This window comes from Homo sapiens, chromosome 1 (genome assembly GCF_000001405.40).
Source record: "Homo sapiens chromosome 1, GRCh38.p14 Primary Assembly".
Taxonomy (NCBI): Eukaryota; Metazoa; Chordata; class Mammalia; order Primates; family Hominidae; genus Homo; species Homo sapiens.
In genome coordinates, this window is record NC_000001.11 from 74,429,732 (window position 1) to 74,448,130 (window position 18,399).

General features: G+C 36.5%; 2 protein-coding genes across 3 annotated transcripts in view; both read left to right on the forward strand.

Annotated features, from left to right (window-relative positions):
• Positions 1–18,399, forward strand: part of FPGT-TNNI3K (FPGT-TNNI3K readthrough) — a 346,187-nt gene that overhangs the window by 231,490 nt on the left and 96,298 nt on the right. For both annotated transcript variants that reach the window (NM_001112808.3, NM_001199327.2), the window contains exons 20-22: positions 6,349–6,401; positions 6,743–6,795; positions 9,759–9,891. In NM_001112808.3, coding sequence (NP_001106279.3) covers positions 6,349–6,401; positions 6,743–6,795; positions 9,759–9,891 — 239 coding nt within the window. The remainder of the gene's footprint in view (positions 1–6,348; positions 6,402–6,742; positions 6,796–9,758; positions 9,892–18,399) is intronic.
• The window catches only part of TNNI3K (TNNI3 interacting kinase), a 309,042-nt gene that overhangs the window by 194,345 nt on the left and 96,298 nt on the right, over positions 1–18,399 (forward strand). Inside the window, exons 18-20 of the mRNA NM_015978.3 lie at positions 6,349–6,401; positions 6,743–6,795; positions 9,759–9,891. Of these exons, the coding sequence (NP_057062.1) occupies positions 6,349–6,401; positions 6,743–6,795; positions 9,759–9,891 (239 nt within the window). The remainder of the gene's footprint in view (positions 1–6,348; positions 6,402–6,742; positions 6,796–9,758; positions 9,892–18,399) is intronic.

Genomic DNA, 18,399 nt, shown 5'->3' on the forward strand with positions numbered 1-18,399 from the left:
AAACTAATGACTTTCACAGTGTGATGAGATTGAAAATGAAGCCTAATTGCTTCCACTGATTTAACCCTTGGAATGCTTCCAGGCATGCTCACAGCCATGTGTCTTTAATCATGTGAGTTAATCACCTTCAGGGATACATCAGAAAACAGTGGCTTATAGGAAGCCTGGGAAGCATTGCAGTTGTGTTATTAAGCCTGCACTTCTGGGGGCTGTCATCTCTTCAAATAAGGACGCTGAGAGGTTGGCCGTGGTGCCCTTACACTAGTTTTTGTTAGTAACAACTGACATAGGCAATTACAGAAAAAATGAATTAATATTTATGAATTTTTAAGTGACTTTAAAGAACTCCTAATGGTAGTGGAGTGAAAGTAGCAAGTCACCTTGATCCTTCTAAGGCCACCATGAACTTCAGTCCAGCTCTGGAAGAAAATCAGAATTGGAAAGTGGTCTAATAATCAGGCCAGTCTGATTAATAGTGACAATTAGTATTGGACTACAGTGCATAACCAACTGATTATGAATCATTCGAGCACTTTAGGTAAATTTTCAATACAGGCAATTAAAATGAAAAGACTCATGATCCTTACATAATGACTTCATTAAATTAATTCAATTCTGAGGTTGGGGAAAATTTTCTTTTGTAGAAAGGAACCAGCAGAATTTAACTTCCATTCACTTTTGGTTAAAAGAAATCTGGAGAAAACATAAGATTTAAACACAACACACACACATATGCACACACCACTTTGCAAACAGCTTATTCATGTCTGAATGTGAACCGTGTTACTGAGGAAGAAAGAACTGAAGGTCAGAGCATGGATTCTATTCACATCGCTTATTCAGATGAAGTAAATCTTGCCCGCAGTTATATTTTGTATTCCACTAAGTGCATGCATTGTTAAGGTTAAAAGAACATTATTGTGGAGTAATCTGTGAAAGACAGACACTTCAAAGAGATAAATACTCACTTCTGTTACATAAACAATTAACTCAAGTCATTTGCTTCATGGTAAAAGACAAAGCTAGAGCCAAATCCAAATACTGTGGTATCAGTGCAGTCAGGGGAACAAAGATTCCTTTAAGTGAAACACCGTCATTCAATCAAAGCAGAAATAGTTTTGGAGAAATAGACAATAAGAGTGGAAGGAGAAGAGACTCTCTAGGACTAAGAGTGACTTGAAATATTCCACAGTAAAGTCTGTCTCTATTGTGAGTTTTGAGTCAGAAAGTCACTTTGCTTCCAAGATTCATTACTTAATACCTAATGTATACAGCTTTATTGTTTACAAAAGTGCATTTGCACTTAAGTTGTACAGACATGCTGTAAGCTAGGTATTATGTGTATTAATAATAGCTAATACTTATTTAGCAGTTCAGAATTTGCCAAATTCCATCTATCTCTTTTTCATTTTCTTCATTCCTCTTACAATTTTTGAAGATGAGAAAAAGAGTCTCAAAAAGTTAAAGTATTATAATTTGGCCAAAATCACAGGACTAGTAACAGCAAAAACTAGGTATTAAGCAGTCTTCTGACTATAGGTCCTCTTTCTATGTAGTACCTCCTGTTCCTCATATTTCTTAAGACTATTTTTTTCTACTTGGTTAATGATCTTTTTTATAATAAATTCTTACATTCACTATATTATTTTCTAGGTATCTCAGAATGAAAACCACTTTAAATTTTAGATTATGTACCTTGATCTTTCTTTCAGTTTGCATTTCATTCCCAATCAGACCACACTGTCTTTCTGAAGGCATACACTGCAATTTCTAGCACAGAACTTAGCCTTCGCAGCAGAGATAGTAAACTAAGTCAGTAATTGGTTGAGCTAGAACCTCAGCCCAAGTCCTAACATCTGGGGCAAGGAGCTGAGGAGACTAAGGAGCAAGAGATGAAAAGAGATACATTACAGTAAAATGTAGAGATTTGTTCAGATCTCCAGATTAGTAAATGCGCTTCTAGCATATCATATCTCCTATAAAGCAGCGTGATCAAAAGGAGCAATAAAGCCTTCTGAGCTGCTGACACTGCAAGGTTGGCTGGGCACGCTCTTGAACTAAGTAACTTGCTTCTGAACTTAAGCCTCACTTGACGCAACAAAATTGCAAGTTAGCAAACAGCATGGAGTATAGAAATCACACTTATTTAGATGAAATCAAAATGTTAAATGCAGAAATGCTAAAAATTACTCTAAGCATAAAGGACTAGTTGACTTTTATCTACTTAAATTCCTTTAATGGTCTTTACCAAACTTGCTGTTATCTAAAAAGCATTCCTCAGTGACTCTTCACCCTTGAAGATGCTTCTGGAGAGTTTAAGATGCAAGTCTGTGTATGTGTGTGTGTGTGTGTGCACACATGCATATGCACAGCTTATGTGTACATGTTTGTATATTATAGTATAAGTATAGTATAAGTTAACCATTTTCCTTGACCTCAAAGGTAAGGGCTAAGGCGCTAGCTCAACTGCAGGTTTGCTTATCTGTCAAATCAAATCAAATTTTGCTGATTTGCCAGATTCAAATCAGAAGGATCTGACTCATGGGGCTGTTTCCACGAATGTTACAATGCTCATGAATATGCTCTGCAATATCATATATAACAGAAGACTGCCTTTCTCTCAAGATTTTATAGAAGAGCAAATGGATGTAAATAAACCTCTTGGGTGGTCTTTTGAAGGAAAAGAAGTCTGAGAATTCCCGTCACCCTTCTATTTCTCTCTTCTGATCCTGATGATTGTCTCCCTGGTGTTGACACTCTTCATGTGCCTGGCTTACTTCCCAGGTCAAATTGCACTTTCCTTGTTTGCAGTGATTATGCTTCCTTAACCTACATTTCTTTAAAGAGCCTATGACATAGCATCCAATCTCTTGAAGGGAGGAAAGTTAGACTTTGCCTGCTTTACCTTGGTGGAACAGAGGTATATTGGGTTTATTTCTAATTAGCTTATTGATTTCAGTCTCATTACCTTACAGTAACATATTGAAAACAGGTATTTTGGGCACTAGCTGGTAGGCCTGACTTCACCTAAACAAGATTTCTGGAATTTCTTTCCAGACATCTAATTATAGCAGTCCTGCATCGTCCTTTGGGTATGGTTGGTGTGAGAGTCAGCTTCTCCTAAAACAGGAAAGTTTTGGAGACTGAATCCTGGCTCTACCTCTTCCCAGCTATGATACAGGACACTGATTTCACCTCTTTAGCCTCAATTATCCATCTGTAAAATAGGTATGCTAATACCATCTCCATAGTGGCTCCATGAGGAATGGAAAAATGTTGAAAACACCAGTGCCTGCTCACAGGAGACCCTCACTCAATTTTACTCCCTTCTCTCTGCACTGCCACCATCTCTGTCACTGCTCCCACATTCCCACAATCTTTACACTGCTCCTCACTTGTAGTTCACGACATCTCTCAGTAATAAACTCTTGAACTCACCTTTAATAATAATTGTACCACTTCTGTTGTCCTAGCTAGCTTCAGCTCCAAGCTCTTCTCCTTCCCTGGTATCCTCAAACCTGACATTGCTGACCCTTCACACAACCTCCCTGATTTTAAAGGCTTTGACTCTGGGTGTGATGCCCACTGAAGCTGTCACTGTGACTGATTAGCACAGGTTCTGCCAGCTTCAACCCTGCCTGCCCCCCTTCATGAACTTCACTCCATATAGGAAGCACGGCTTACTTCAAAATGGAAAAAATGTGTGAAAGAATCTTAGAGATGGTATTACAATTTAGTTTTCATTATTACTGAGTGGTTAGAGAAGGAGTGGACAAATCCAAGACTATCTTGAAGTGAATAGAAACTTTCACTTTATTCTAGCACTTGCTAAGTTGCTCTCATTCTGCAAAGTCACTTTCACAGCATCCTTTTGACATTTAGACCCATTATTGCTATGAACTCTCATTGTCCTGTGTTCCTAAACTGTCACTGCATCCTTTGTTTTGTTTGACTTGTTACTGTTTTTTATAAGAGTTCATTTTGAATGTGACCTCAATGTGATAAATGTTATAGTTGTTTATCAGGTGGGTCTAATCTTGCCAAGCATAACTCTGACTCAAGTTCCACAGACTCCCAACTAAGCCACTAGTTTATTCACAAAAGTTGCCAGGTTTTCTGGTTATATGGCTCTTTCTCACTGTGTATATTATTGCTCTTTAGTTAGAAGACAAAGCTAGAGTTTTGGAGGTTATCTTTGTTTTTGTTGTTGTTGTTGTCTTTTAGTCTCTAATATTTAAACTGCTCCCAGATAGGCTCCCAGATATAAACTGCTCTCAGATATTTTGATGGATCCACTCTACTGCTTTCTTTTTTCTACTCTACCTTCGCACTTTAGTCATTTGGTAATTGCATTCTAAAATTATTTGGAAATAACCAGTCTGTGATTTCAGAGCATTAAAATATATGCATAAAAACCTGTACTAGTGCCTTCTACATCCTGCATCAAGTCCAGAATTGTTCTCTAATTTCAAATTCCCTAGCAATTCAACACCACTTTCACCCAAATATTCCCTCATTATTTTTTAGCATGCACTCTCTGATTTAGTAAGTACATTTTTAGTATAATTCCTATTGCATACTACACACACTCCCAACTCTTGCCCTTTGCCAAGATCTTTCCCCAATCTAGAATTCATTTCCCCTTTGTCTCTTCCAGCCTCATCTCCTTTACACTACCGTATAAATTCAGTCTTTGCCTGTCTTGTTCACCACTATATCCCAGTATAAAGAAATTTTCCTGGTACATGATAAAGTCTCAGCACATATTTATACACTTACTAACTGACTGTTCTTCAAAGCCCACTTCAAAGCTAATCCCTTTCTTAACCCACTCTATCTAGTAGTACAGCGTGTAGATGCAATTTTCTTATTGCATTTGAACTTCCAGAGAGCTCCTGGTGCTGTAGAGTTCTCTGACAGGACAGTCTGATTCTCATCATGTGTATTAATTAGTAATTTGTGGTTAAAGACATCATCTTGGAGGTCCCTGTTTTGTTTGACATCCTGGAATACTTCTACACTGCGCTACTGCAAGAAAAATGATTTTAACATATTTTAGATTTTCTGTAATTTAAAAGAAGATTATTTATACTCCAAAGATAAAATCAGTAGCAATTACAAGAGAAGTTCAAAAGTAACTTTTTTATAAATGTCAAGTCAAGGCGGGAAAGCAATTATATAAAGTGATTCAATATCATATTGGACTCACTCAAGATTAAGAAATAGTGGCATTTTTCTTGTTTTGACCATGAAGCAAAATAGTTAAGGGTAAAGGAACATTATGTAATTTATTATAAAATAAATATAATATAGCCCATATGCACTAAAAAAATCCAGTGGCAATCTCCTAATACTGAAATGACTCATTTACAAGCCAAATGTAAAATGGGCATCAAAGACATATGGTAAGAAGCATTCAAAGACAATCTTGGACTATCATATGCATGTCTGTAAAATAGTCCACAATTAAATTTACTAATTATGGGGAAGAGTAAGCTCTCTTTGGACTATCTCAGCTTTGATTTACTTCTTAAAAAGGACACTCTTTTTTCTGCCCTTATTGAGGTATAATTAACAAATAAAAGTTATACGTATGAGGCACAAGGTGATGTGACATATGTATACATTGTGAAATGATTACCATAATCAGGCTAATTAACATATCTATCCACCTCATATGGCTACCTTTTTGTGTGTGTTGTGAGAACATTTAAGATCTACTCTGACACTCTTCTTAATCTAACTTGAATTCTTGGTTGAAGGGGGACTTTGGTGACCTTTATGCTATTCTCCTCAAAACCTTAAAAAGTGGTTTAGTTGGCATCATTTCACAGATCTCAAAACACTCCTTTGTGCTGAGATTGTATCTAGAATGTATTGATCATGGCATTTTCCATAGAGAATCCTTTTGCTACATTCATTTCAGGCCTTTTCTTGAACTGTCCTTGTGCCTAGGGTTCCAGCAAGCTGGTTCTCTTGCTCTGACTCTAATACGCCCATGATGCTTTTCACTCTTTCCTTGTAACCACAATTGTGTTAGCAAATGAGCCTCAAGGAGCTGAAAAACTGATCTTCAGCTGATGGGTCTTTTTGACAAGTTTAGAGGGTTTGTCTAAAGTAGGAATTCTTTATACATTCAACATTAGATAAAGTATAAACATGATTACATTTTATAAATAGCTGTTTTGAATCAGCAAAACTAAAAAATTTTGATTTAGCCCTTTGGGGCCCATTTATTCTCTAGGGCAAACAAATGATGTCTATGGTCCTCTTCTTTGAGGGGCCAATTAGATTAGGACATAGCAAAGCTTACTCAATGTCTACTTTTTTTTTTTTTTTTTTTTACAGTCACAATATTCTTCTCTATGAGGATGGGCATGCTGTGGTGGCAGATTTTGGAGGTGAGATACCCCAAAATGGCATCCTTTTTTTCTTTGTTCCTAGCTGGTACAATATGGTGCCTGATATTGTACCATGAAACTGAACACTGAACACTGACAGCTATACTACACTGAACACTGACAGCTATCCTACCATAAATCATTCAAATTTCAATGACCCTACATTTTGAAACTCTGTCATTTATTTCTAGTTTTTCTTCTTTCTTATCTCCAGCCAAGAGAAGGGAAGTGAGAATTTGAATAAGACAGAAGTCTCTTGAGGTTTCAAAATTTTAACTGTGATCTTTTACCTTGGTTTTAAGATATTTCCTTTGACGTGATTTATTTTCTCTTTCCCTCAGAATCAAGATTTCTACAGTCTCTGGATGAAGACAACATGACAAAACAACCTGGGGTTTGCTGCTGCTTGTGTTTCCTATAATTATAAACCAATTAAAATATGTAAACTCAGCATGAGAGGACGTAAGATGAGAGCAGTTTTAATTGGAAGAAATGTCATTGTCTCAGTGTTGGGATAATGGCTTATGTCTTTATTTTTAGTAAGCTGTCAAAATAACTATCTCAAGGCTCTACTAGAGAAATAGATAAGATATATATTTGGAAAACAGTATGGATAAAATAATACAGAATATGTTTCAAATATAACTGAAAAGAACGTTGTGGGCATGGATCTTTTCATATTTAGATCACCTAACTACTTATAGTAAAGTAAACATTTAATAGGGAACTCACAATAAAATTAGTAGTTCATCAGCATCTATTAACTATTCATCGTTCTCCACTTTAACATTGTAATGTAATAAGTGGTATATCCAAGTATTAATGTTTAAGTAAAATATAAATTATAATAACTGAAGCAAGGATAATTGTACTCAAAATGTCTGCAATTAAATTCATTACCTGCCCTCTCCTTCACTCTCCCCAATCCCTCCCCCTGAAAAAAAGTAGACTTCTCTTTCTGGACTACTTGTGATAACTAATTACCTAAGGCTGGAGTAATTTTTCATTCTTTCCCTTTCCTGCTTCTACTTACACTCAGTCACCTTTTCTGGATGTCTCTTTCTTTTCTTTAAGTTCATCTTAACCTCTTAAACCTCTCACTTCCTGCTGCTTCAGTTCAGATTCTCGTCACTTCTTTTCTGGACTAGTGTCATAATAGGCTTCTAACTCCAGTCCTCTCTTCTTGTTCATTTTTTGCATCATCAACTAAGTTCTCATTCCTATGGAGCTAATATTCTACTGGAAGGGGATAAATACTGGACAAATTAACAAAATATATCTCAGGCAGTGATGAGTGTTATGAAGAAAAATAAAAGCAGAGTAAATGAATGGAGAGTGATGAGGTTGACATTTAGATAGGATGAAGGAAAACGTTAACATTTAATAAGAGGCCTGACATGGGAGTAATCTACATGGGGGGAGAGCTATGCAGGTGGGGGCAATAGTAAGTGCAGAGGTCCTGGGGCAGGAGAGTTCTTGGTGTGTTCAAACTAACATGGCTGGAGTGAGGTGAGCAAGGAGGAAAGTGGCAGTTTATGAGGTAAGGGAGGTGGGAACAATAAGTGATCTTTTGGCAGGACACAAAGCTCATCCCAGACATGGGACATAGAGGCAACTAAATTAGTGGTCCTCAAGCCTAGCTGCACATTAAAATAAGTTTAGAAACTTTTTTTAAGCATAGTGCCCGAATCTGATCCCCAGAAATTATGATTTTATTGGCCTAAGACTGATCTTGAGTTCCTGCATCTTTTAAAAATTCCCCCACATAATTCTAAAAAGCAGTTAGTTGAGACTCTCCAACTAAATAAGCTTTTGTTGAATGTAATTAAATTGAATTTAACCAACAGCAAATAATATTAACTCTCTTATTCTAGCCGCATAGTCTTTAAGCACAGCACTAATAAATAAATAAATTAGTGCTAATAAATAAATTAGTGCTGTGCTTAAAGACTATGCTGCTAGAATAAGAGAGTTAATTTGAAATTTATTTTGAAAGCTGTTTTGTTTCTCATTAGTTATGTGGCTTTATGTATGTTATCTAATCAGTCTATGACCCCTCTGTGCAAAAACGGGCATACTGTGTACCTGCTCCCACATATACAATGTTGTGACACAATGCATAATCTGCTATAAAAATGTAGACTCTTTGGAATGTGGAAGCTCATGCAGAAGAATTGCATATGAGCACCATAATAAGAATAAAGATATTATTGGAAAGCTGTAACTATGCATGGTTTCAAAATAAGGTGGACATTTCAAAAGAATTAGCAACCAACACTACACACAAGATTTTGGTAAGAGTGATAAAAGAATAATGGTTTCCTTCAATGGACATTTAAAAGTGTGTAGCAAAGTTTATTAATAAAATAAAGTGCAATGAGGATTTAGAACTGGGAGGGTGTGGCTCCTCTGTTTTGTCCTTGAGGAATCTGAGGTCCAGGAAACATGACATACTGAACAGCTACCCAGAGCTGTTCAGTAAGTGGTAGAGCCAGAACTAGAATTTTCATCTCCTAACTCTAAATCCAGTGTTCTGCGCCCTAAACTAGAAATCAACCAAATTTATGCATTTGCATCCCAGAATGGAAACTAATTTTTTTAACTGAAAAATGTGAAATTACAAATGAAAAGAATGTAAATAATGTCATCGAAACAGAGGCTAGAACTTTGTACGGAGGGACTTGTAATATTTTATGGGCTTCCTTTCTGGAATATTGCACAAACAGCATTCATAAATAGCACATCTGGGCAGAGAAAGTAAGACAGACCTGATCCAGCCAGTGATAAATCTACTTCATAGGAATATTCTAGGAACTCCTCGGGAGCCATTTCTCTCCTCAGCCATGAGCACACTATTTATGGGCCTAATTTAGTAACTTCCTAAATTACAACCTGAAGACTTGAAGGAGGTGCCTCCCACAGTGTGTGATTCACTCCCAGGGAGACATAGGGTCCCTGGATGAATCCATGGTTGGCTATTCTGAACCTTGTAAGGCTTCTAAGGGAGGAAGATGTTTATAGATTTAAAAAAATAATGCTGCTTCTCATTGTATAAGAGGCAGACTTACTTGATGATTAATTACTTGTGTGATGTTTTAGGAAGAATTATGAACTTTATGATCTTCCAATGATTAAAAAATGCCCTTTGAGGAACTGAACAGCCACAGTAAACACACTGTGTATGTATAAACATGTTTATTGCACACACTGAGGGCAATATGTATGGATGTTAATTTATATTTATGCCTTTTGAGAGCATCGGGAGAACACAGTAAATTCTCACTAAGAAGAATGCTACTCTGCAGTGGAAGAACCAAACACTTGGTAAATGGCTTGTGGATGTTTCTTGATGTGCAGAACCTCCGTTGGATGGCTCCTGAGGTGTTCACGCAGTGCACTCGGTACACCATCAAAGCAGATGTCTTCAGCTATGCTCTGTGTCTGTGGGAAATTCTCACTGGCGAAATTCCATTCGCTCATCTCAAGCCAGGTAAGACACACTGCAATTGAAGTTTTCCTGTTTTACAGAGTTCACTGGATTTTTATAACTTCAAGAAAATTTTTTTTCACAAAATGATTAGTCTCAGTGAGATGGCAAAAGAGGAGGTAAGCAAACAATCTTAAATTGTTTTAAGGTGTGTGCCCAACCCAGAAAATTTAATGACTTACCTGTGATTTCAGACCGAGACACACAGAAATGCAGGTATATTTTATTAAAGTTTGGGACTTGATTTATTGATTGTTAATAAAACAAGCAAATAACTATGATCATGTGGCATGTGAGAGCAAATAAGGTGGACAATGTGATATTTATTTTTTGAGGTGAGATTTTAGAATTGCCCTTTTAACATGTATATAGGGATAAGAAAGTAGTAACACAGAAATAACCTGTTAAGGCTGCTCTCTGCTTATCTCACATCATAAAAAAGAAGATGGGTTTTCCTAACGTTTTTGTATTATATGCATATATATATATATGGATACATTCTAAAAATGGGGCATGCAGTGAGTCTGGCTTTCATTGATGATACACATTATGCTTTGCTCATGTGTAGAAAGTGAAGGTGAGGAATCTAATCACAGGTAAAATATACACATATTTTAGGTTTAAAGTAAACTTCATTTGCATCTATCTCTCAATTGCATTTGGATTGCTTTCATATCTTGTCACACTAGACAAATCTCCTTAAGGACTTTGCATCCCTAAAACTTAGCACACTTGTAAAGTAGTTGTCAAATGTAATCATAAGTAATTTTAAATAATTATATTGTAATCTCCTAATGGCCACCCTACAACAATATATAAGAAGGATAAAGTCAAAAGAGATGTTACTTAAACATCCCTTTTAACAAGTTAAAAGTCTTGACCAAGATCAAAATATTTATGAGTACTCATGTACAGAGAGGTAGCCACATCTCATCTCATACTCTATTTTGGAGTTTTTTTTCCCCAACCTACCATATGGTCTTTTAATTACACCCTGCATAGCAGAGTGCTTTTCACAGGTTATGTGCTCTGTGCATAGTTTGTTAAGCGTAATGATGATGTAATTGTCCTAATTTTTCTCTACATATTTTCTATAGTTTTAAATTAGACTTAGCCCTTATTATAGTGTGGATGTGTGGACTCTATTTTGAGCTGTACCAACATTGCCATTTGTAAGGTCTTGTTCTGATCTCTTTCCTTCTCTCCACTTCTTAGAGTGTGCATCCTGATAAGATTGATGGATATACAGAAAATTGATTATAATTTTAGATGTACTATGGTGTTTTTTCGTAAGAAAGAAATACAACTCCTTTTGCTTCATCCCCTGTGTCAATCCATTAACCTGGCCCTGTTTATTTTACCTTCTAATACATGGGTTTCTCTACCACTTACCATCATCCACCACCATCGTAGCCCAAGCCATCTTTCCTTTAAACCACTGCAATAGTCTTTTTAAAAATAGGGTTTATTTAGGCATAATATACCTGCAGTAAAATTTACCTTTCTAGGTTAACACTTCAATGAGTTTTAATAAATATATACAGCTGTATAACCACAATGGCAATCAAGATGTATAACATTTCCATCACTCCAAAAAGTTCCCAGTGCCTGTCTGGGATCAATCCACTTCTCACACCTCCAGCCCTTGGCAACCAATGACCTCATTTCTGTCCGGATAAGCTTACTTATATACCAATGTCATATAAATGGAATCATGTTGCTTCATTTATCAGTAATTTATTCTTTTTCACTACTTTGTAATATTTCATATTATAGATGTGCCATGATTTATTTATGCATACAGAAGTTCATGACCATTTGAGTTCTTCTCATTTTAGGGCTATTAAGAATAAATCTGCTCAAATAATTGAGGCTTTTGTGTGGTTGTTTTTGTTTCCATTGAATAAATGAGTAACAGATGGATTGCTACATGTTATAATAAGAGTTTTTCCAAGGTGTCTGTACCATTATGAATTTCCAACAGTAGTCGGTGAGAATTTCAGTTGTTTCACGTCCTTGCCAGCACTTTGAGTTGTTTATTTTTAAATATATATGTATATATTAGGCATTTGAGTGGGGGTACATGGAACATCATTGTGATATTTACATTTCACTGATGACTAGAAATATTGACACTTTATGTGCTTGTTTGATATCCATATTTCTTCTGTGAAATGTTTGTTTAAATAGTCTCATCATTTAGTTGTAAGAGTTCTTAGATTATAGGGATTATAGGGAGAAGTACTTTATCTGCTACATGTTTTGCAAGGATTTTCCTGTAATCTGTGGCTTGCCTTTTTGTATTCTCAGCAATGTCTTTCAAAGAGCAGATGTTTTTAATGTCAATGAAATCCATCTTATGAAAATTTTAAATCAATTTGTATCCTATCTAAAAATATTTTTGCCTTACTCAAAGCCATAAAAACTTCCCCCTATTTTTTTTATAGAAGTCTTACAGGTTTAGGTTTTATATTTATAAGATCTATTTTGAGTTCTTATTTTTTTAAAGTACCCAGTTTGGGTTGAATTTGGTATTCTTTGGTTTATTCCTTTGTTTTTTTTAATACAGATGTCCAATTCTTTTCTCATAATTTTTCAAAACTACTATCCTTTCTTATTAAATTATTTTGGTACATTTTTCAAAAATCAGTTGACCATATATGTATGCACTTATTTCCAACTCTATTCTGTTTCACTGATCATGTGTCTACCCTTAAATCAATACCACACTATCTTACTATATTATAGTGAGTCGTGAAATTAAGTAATGTGAATCCTCCAACTTTGTTCTTCTTTGTTAAAAAGGCTCTGGCCATCTAGATTTTTTTTGCTTTTCCATATAAATTTTAGAATCAGCTTGTCTATATTCCTATAAAAAGCTTGTTGGAATTTGATTCGATTGTATTGAATTATTAGATCAATTTGGGAAGAATGAACATCTTAACCGTGTTAGTCTTCTGCTCAATAAACATGGTTTATCTCTATCTTCACTTAGGTCTTCTTAAATTTCATACATTACATAATTTGTTATATATTTTAGCATACAAACCTTGCATATTTTTATTATACTTATCTCTATCTATTTTGTGTCTCTTGATATATTGTAAATGTTACTCTTAAAAATATCAATGTCCTAATTGGAAGTAAAACACTCCTAAGCCAATGCAAAACAACTGAAATCATAACAAACAGTCTCTATGGCCACGGCACAATCAAATTAGAATTTAAGATTAAGAAACTCATTAAAAATCACACGACTACATGAAAATTCAAAACCTGCTTCTGAATGAATCCTGAGTAAAAAAATGAAATTAAGGCAGAGATCAAGAAGTTATTTGAAACCAGTGAGAACAAAGAGACAACATACCAGAATCTCTGAGATGCAGCTAAAGCAGCGTTGAGATAAATTTATAGCACTAAATGCCCACCTCAAAAAGCTAGAAAGATCTCAAATTGACATCCTAACAATTACAACAAAAACAACTGGAGAACCAAGAGAAAACAACCACCAAAGCTAGCAGAAGAAAAGAAATAACCTACATCAGAGTGAACTGAAGGATATAGAGACACAAAAAACCTTTCAGAAAATCAATGAATCCAGGAGGTGGTTTTTTGAAAAAATTAATAAAATAGATACACCGCTAGCTAGACCAATAAAGAAGAAAAGAGAATAATCAAATAGGCATAATAAAAAATGATAAAGAGGATATAATTGTGACTCCACAGAAATACAAACAACCACCAGAGAATACTATAAACACCTCTATGCAAATAAACTAGACAATCTAGAAGAAATGGATAAATACCTGGATATGTACACCCCCGCAAGACTGAACCAGGAAGAAGTTGCTTGCATGAATAGACCAATAATAAGTTCTGAAATTGAGGCAATAATAAATAGCCTATCAACAAAAAAAAGCCCAGGACCAGACGGATTTACAACTGAATTCTACCTGAGGTACAAAGAGGAGCTGGTACCATTTTTTCTGAAACTATTCCAAACAATTGAAAAGGAAGGACTCCTCCCTAACTCATATTATGAGACCAGCATCATCCTGACACCAAAACCTGGCAGAGATACAACAAAAAAAGAAAACTTCAGACCAATATCCCTCATGAATATTGATGCAAAAATTCTCAATAAAATACTGGCAAACCAAATCCAGCGGCACATCAAAAAGCTTAGCTACCACAATCAAGTGGGCTTCATCCCCACGATGTAAGGCTGGTTCAGCATATGCAAATCAATAAACGTAATTCATCACATAAACAGAACTAAAGACAGAAACCTCATGATTATCTCAATAGATTCAGAAAAGGTCTTTGATACAATTCAACATCCCTTCATGTTAAAAACTCTCAATAAACTAGGTATTGATGGAACATAGATCAAAATAATAAGAGCCATTTATGACATACCCACAGCGAATATCATACTGAATGGGCAAAAGCTGGAAGCATTCCCCTTGAAAACTGGCACAAGACAAGGATGCCTTCTCTCATTACTCCATTCAACATCGTGTTGGAAGTTCTGGCCAGAACAATCAGGACAAGTGAAAGAAGCTAAGCATATTCAAATAGGAAGAGAGAAAGTCACACTGTCTCTGTTTGCAGATGACATGATTCTATGTCAAGAAGACCACATTGTCTCAGTCCAAAAACCTATTGTCTCAGTCCTTAAAAACCTATTAAGCTTTAAGCAATGTCAGTAAAGTCTCAGGATACAAATCAATGTGCAAAAATCACAAGCATTCCTATACACCAACAATAGACAAGAAGAGAGGCAAATTGTGAATGAACCTCTCACTCACAATTGCTACAAAGAGAAAAAAAAACCTAGGAATACAACTAACAAGAAAAGTGAAGGACCTCTTCAAGGAGAACTACAAACCACTGCTCAAAGAAATAAGAGAGGACACAAACAAATGGAAAAACATTCCATACTCATGGAGAGAAAGAATCAACATCATGAAAATGGCCAGACTGCCCAAAGTAATTTATAGATCCAATGCTATTACCATTAAGTAACTATTGACGTTCTTCACAGAATTAGAAAAAAAATTTAAATTCATATGGAACCAAAAAAGAGCCCATATAGCCAAGACAATCCTAAGCAAAAAAAATAAAGCTGGAGGCATCATGGTACCCAACTTCAAACTGCACTACAAGACTACATAACCAAAACATCATGGTACTGGGAAAAAAAAAAAAGACACATAGACCAATGGAAGAGAACAAAGAACTCAGAAATAAGACCACACATTTACACATCTATAACCATCTGATCTTTGACAAACCTAACAAAAACAAGCAATGGGGAACCCTATTTAATAAATTGTGCTGGGAGAACTGGCTAGCCATATGCAGAAAACTGAAGCTGGACCCCTTCCTTATATCTTATACAAAAATTAACTCCAGATGGATTAAAGACTTAAATGTAAAACCCAAAACCATAAAAACCCTAGAAGAAAATCTAGGCAAGACCATTCAGGACATAGGCATGGACAAAGATTTTATGACAAAAATGTCAGAAGCAATGTGGCAAAAGCAAAAATTGACAAACGTGATCTAAACTAAAGAACTTCTTTTTTTTTTTTCTTTCTTTTTTTTTTTATTATACTTTAAGTTTTAGGGTACATGTGCACATTGTGCAGGTTAGTTACATATGTATACATGTGCCGTGCTGGTGCGCTGCACCCACTAACTCGTCATCTAGCATTAGGTATATCTCCCAATGCTATCCCTCCCCCCTCCCCCCACCCCACAACAGTCCCCAGAGTGTGATATTCCCCTTCCTGTGTCCATGTGATCTCATTGTTCAATTCCCACCTATGAGTGAGAATATGCGGTGTTTGGTTTTTTGTTCTTGCGATAGTTTACTGAGAATGATGATTTCCAATTTCATCCATGTCCCTACAAAGGACGTGAACTCATCATTTTTTATGGCTGCATAGTATTCCATGGTGTATATGTTCCACATTTTCTTTTTTTTCTTTTTTTCTTTTTTTTGAGACGGAGTCTCGCTCTGTCGCCCAGGCTGGAGTGCAGTGGCGGGATCTCGGCTCACTGCAAGTTCCGCCTCCCGGGTTCATGCCATTCTCCTGCCTCAGCCTCCCAAGTAGCTGGGACTACAGGCGCCCGCCACTACGCCTGGCTAACTTTTTGTATTTTTAGTAGAGACGGGGTTTCACCATTTTAGCCAGGATGGTCTCGATCTCCTGACCTCGTGATCCGCCCACCTTGGCCTCCCAAAGTGCTGGGACTACAGGCGTGAGCCACCGTGCCCGGCCGTTCCACATTTTCTTAATCCAGTCTATCATTGTTGGACATTTGGGTTGGTTCCAAGTCTTTGCTAGTGTGAATAATGCCACAATAAACATACGTGTGCATGTGTCTTTATAGCAGCATGATTTATAGTCATTTGGGTATATACCCAGTAATGGGATGGCTGGGTCAAATGGTATTTCTAGTTCTAGATCCCTGAGGAATCGCCACACTGACTTCCACAATGGTTTAACTAGTTTACAGTCCCACCAACAGTGTAAAAGTGTTCCTGTTTCTCCACATCCTCTCCAGCACCTGTTGTTTCCTGACTTTGTAATGATTGCCATTCTAACTGGTGTGAGATGGTATCTCATAGTGGTTTTGATTTGCATTTCTCTGATGGCCAGTGATGATGAGCATTTTTTCATGTGTTTTTTGGCTGCATAAATGTCTTCTTTTGAGAAGTGTCTGTTCATGTCCTTCGCCCACTTTTTGATGGGGTTGTTTGTTTTTTTCTTGTAAATTTGTTTGAATTCATTGTAGATTCTGGATATTAGCCCTTTGTCAGATGAGTAGGTTGCGAAAATTTTCTCCCATTTTGTAGGTTGCCTGTTCACTCTGATGGTAGTTTCTTTTGCTGTGCAGAAGCTCTTTATTTTAATTAGATCCCATTTGTCAATTTTGGCTTTTGTTGCCATTGCTTTTGGTGCTTTGGACATGAAATCCTTGCCCATGCCTATGTCCTGAATGGTAATGCCAAGGTTTTCTTCTAGGGTTTTTATGGTTTTAGGTCTAACGTTTAAATCTTTAATCCATCTTGAATTGATTTTTGTATAAGGTGTAAGGAAGGGATCCAGTTTCAGCTTTCTACATATGGCTAGCCAGTTTTCCCAGCACCATTTATTAAATAGGGAATCCTTTCCCCATTGCTTGTTTTTCTCAGATTTGTCAAAGATCAGATAGTTGTAGGTATGCGGCGTTAATTCTGAGGGCTCTGTTCTGTTCCATTGATCTATATCTCTGTTTTGGTACCAGTACCATGCTGTTTTGGTTACTGTAGCCTTGTAGTATAGTTTGAAGTCAGGTAATGTGATGCCTCCAGCTTTGTTCTTTTGGCTTAGGATTGACTTGGCGATGCGGGCTCTTTTTTGGTTCCATATGAACTTTAAAGTAGTTTTTTCCAATTCTGTGAAGAAAGTCATTGGTAGCTTGATGGGAATGGCATTGAATCTGTAAATTACTTTGGGCAGTATGGCCATTTTCACGATATTGATTCTTCCTACCCATGAGCATGGAATGTTCTTCCATTTGTTTGTATCCTCTTTTATTTCTTTGAGCAGTGGTTTGTAGTTCTCCTTGAAGAGGTCCTTCACATCCCTTGTAAGTTGGATTCCTAGGTATTTTATTCTCTTTGAAGCAATTGTGAATGGGAGTTCACTCATGATTTGGCTCTCTGTTTGTCTGTTGTTGGTGTATAAGAATGCTTGTGATTTTTCCAGAATCTACAATGAACTCAAACAAATTTACAAGAAAAAAACAAACAACCCCATCAAAAAGTGGGCGAAGGACATGAACAGACACTTCTCAAAAGAAGACATTTATGCAGCCAAAAAACACATGAAGAAATGCTCATCATCACTGGCCATCAGAGAAATGCAAATCAAAACCACTATGAGATATCATCTCACACCAGTTAGAATGGCAATCATTAAAAAGTCAGGAAACAACAGGTGCTGGAGAGGATGAGGAGAAATAGGAACACTTTTACACTGTTGGTGGGACTGTAAACTAGTTCAACCATTGTGGAAGTCAGTGTGGCGATTCCTCAGGGATCTAGAACTAGAAATACCATTTGACCCAGCCATCCCATTACTGGGTATATACCCAAATGAGTATAAATCATGCTGCTATAAAGACACATGCACACGTATGTTTATTGCGGCACTATTCACAATAGCAAAGACTTGGAACCAACCCAAATGTCCAACAATGATAGACTGGATTAAGAAAATGTGGCACATATACACCATGGAATACTATGCAGCCATAAAAAATGATGAGTTCATATCCTTTGTAGGGACATGGATGAAATTGGAAACCATCATTCTCAGTAAACTATCGCAAGAACAAAAAACCAAACACCGCATATTCTCACTCATAGGTGGGAATTGAACAATGAGATCACATGGACACAGGAAGGGGAATATCACACTCTGGGGACTGTGGTGGGGTCGGGGGAGGGGGGAG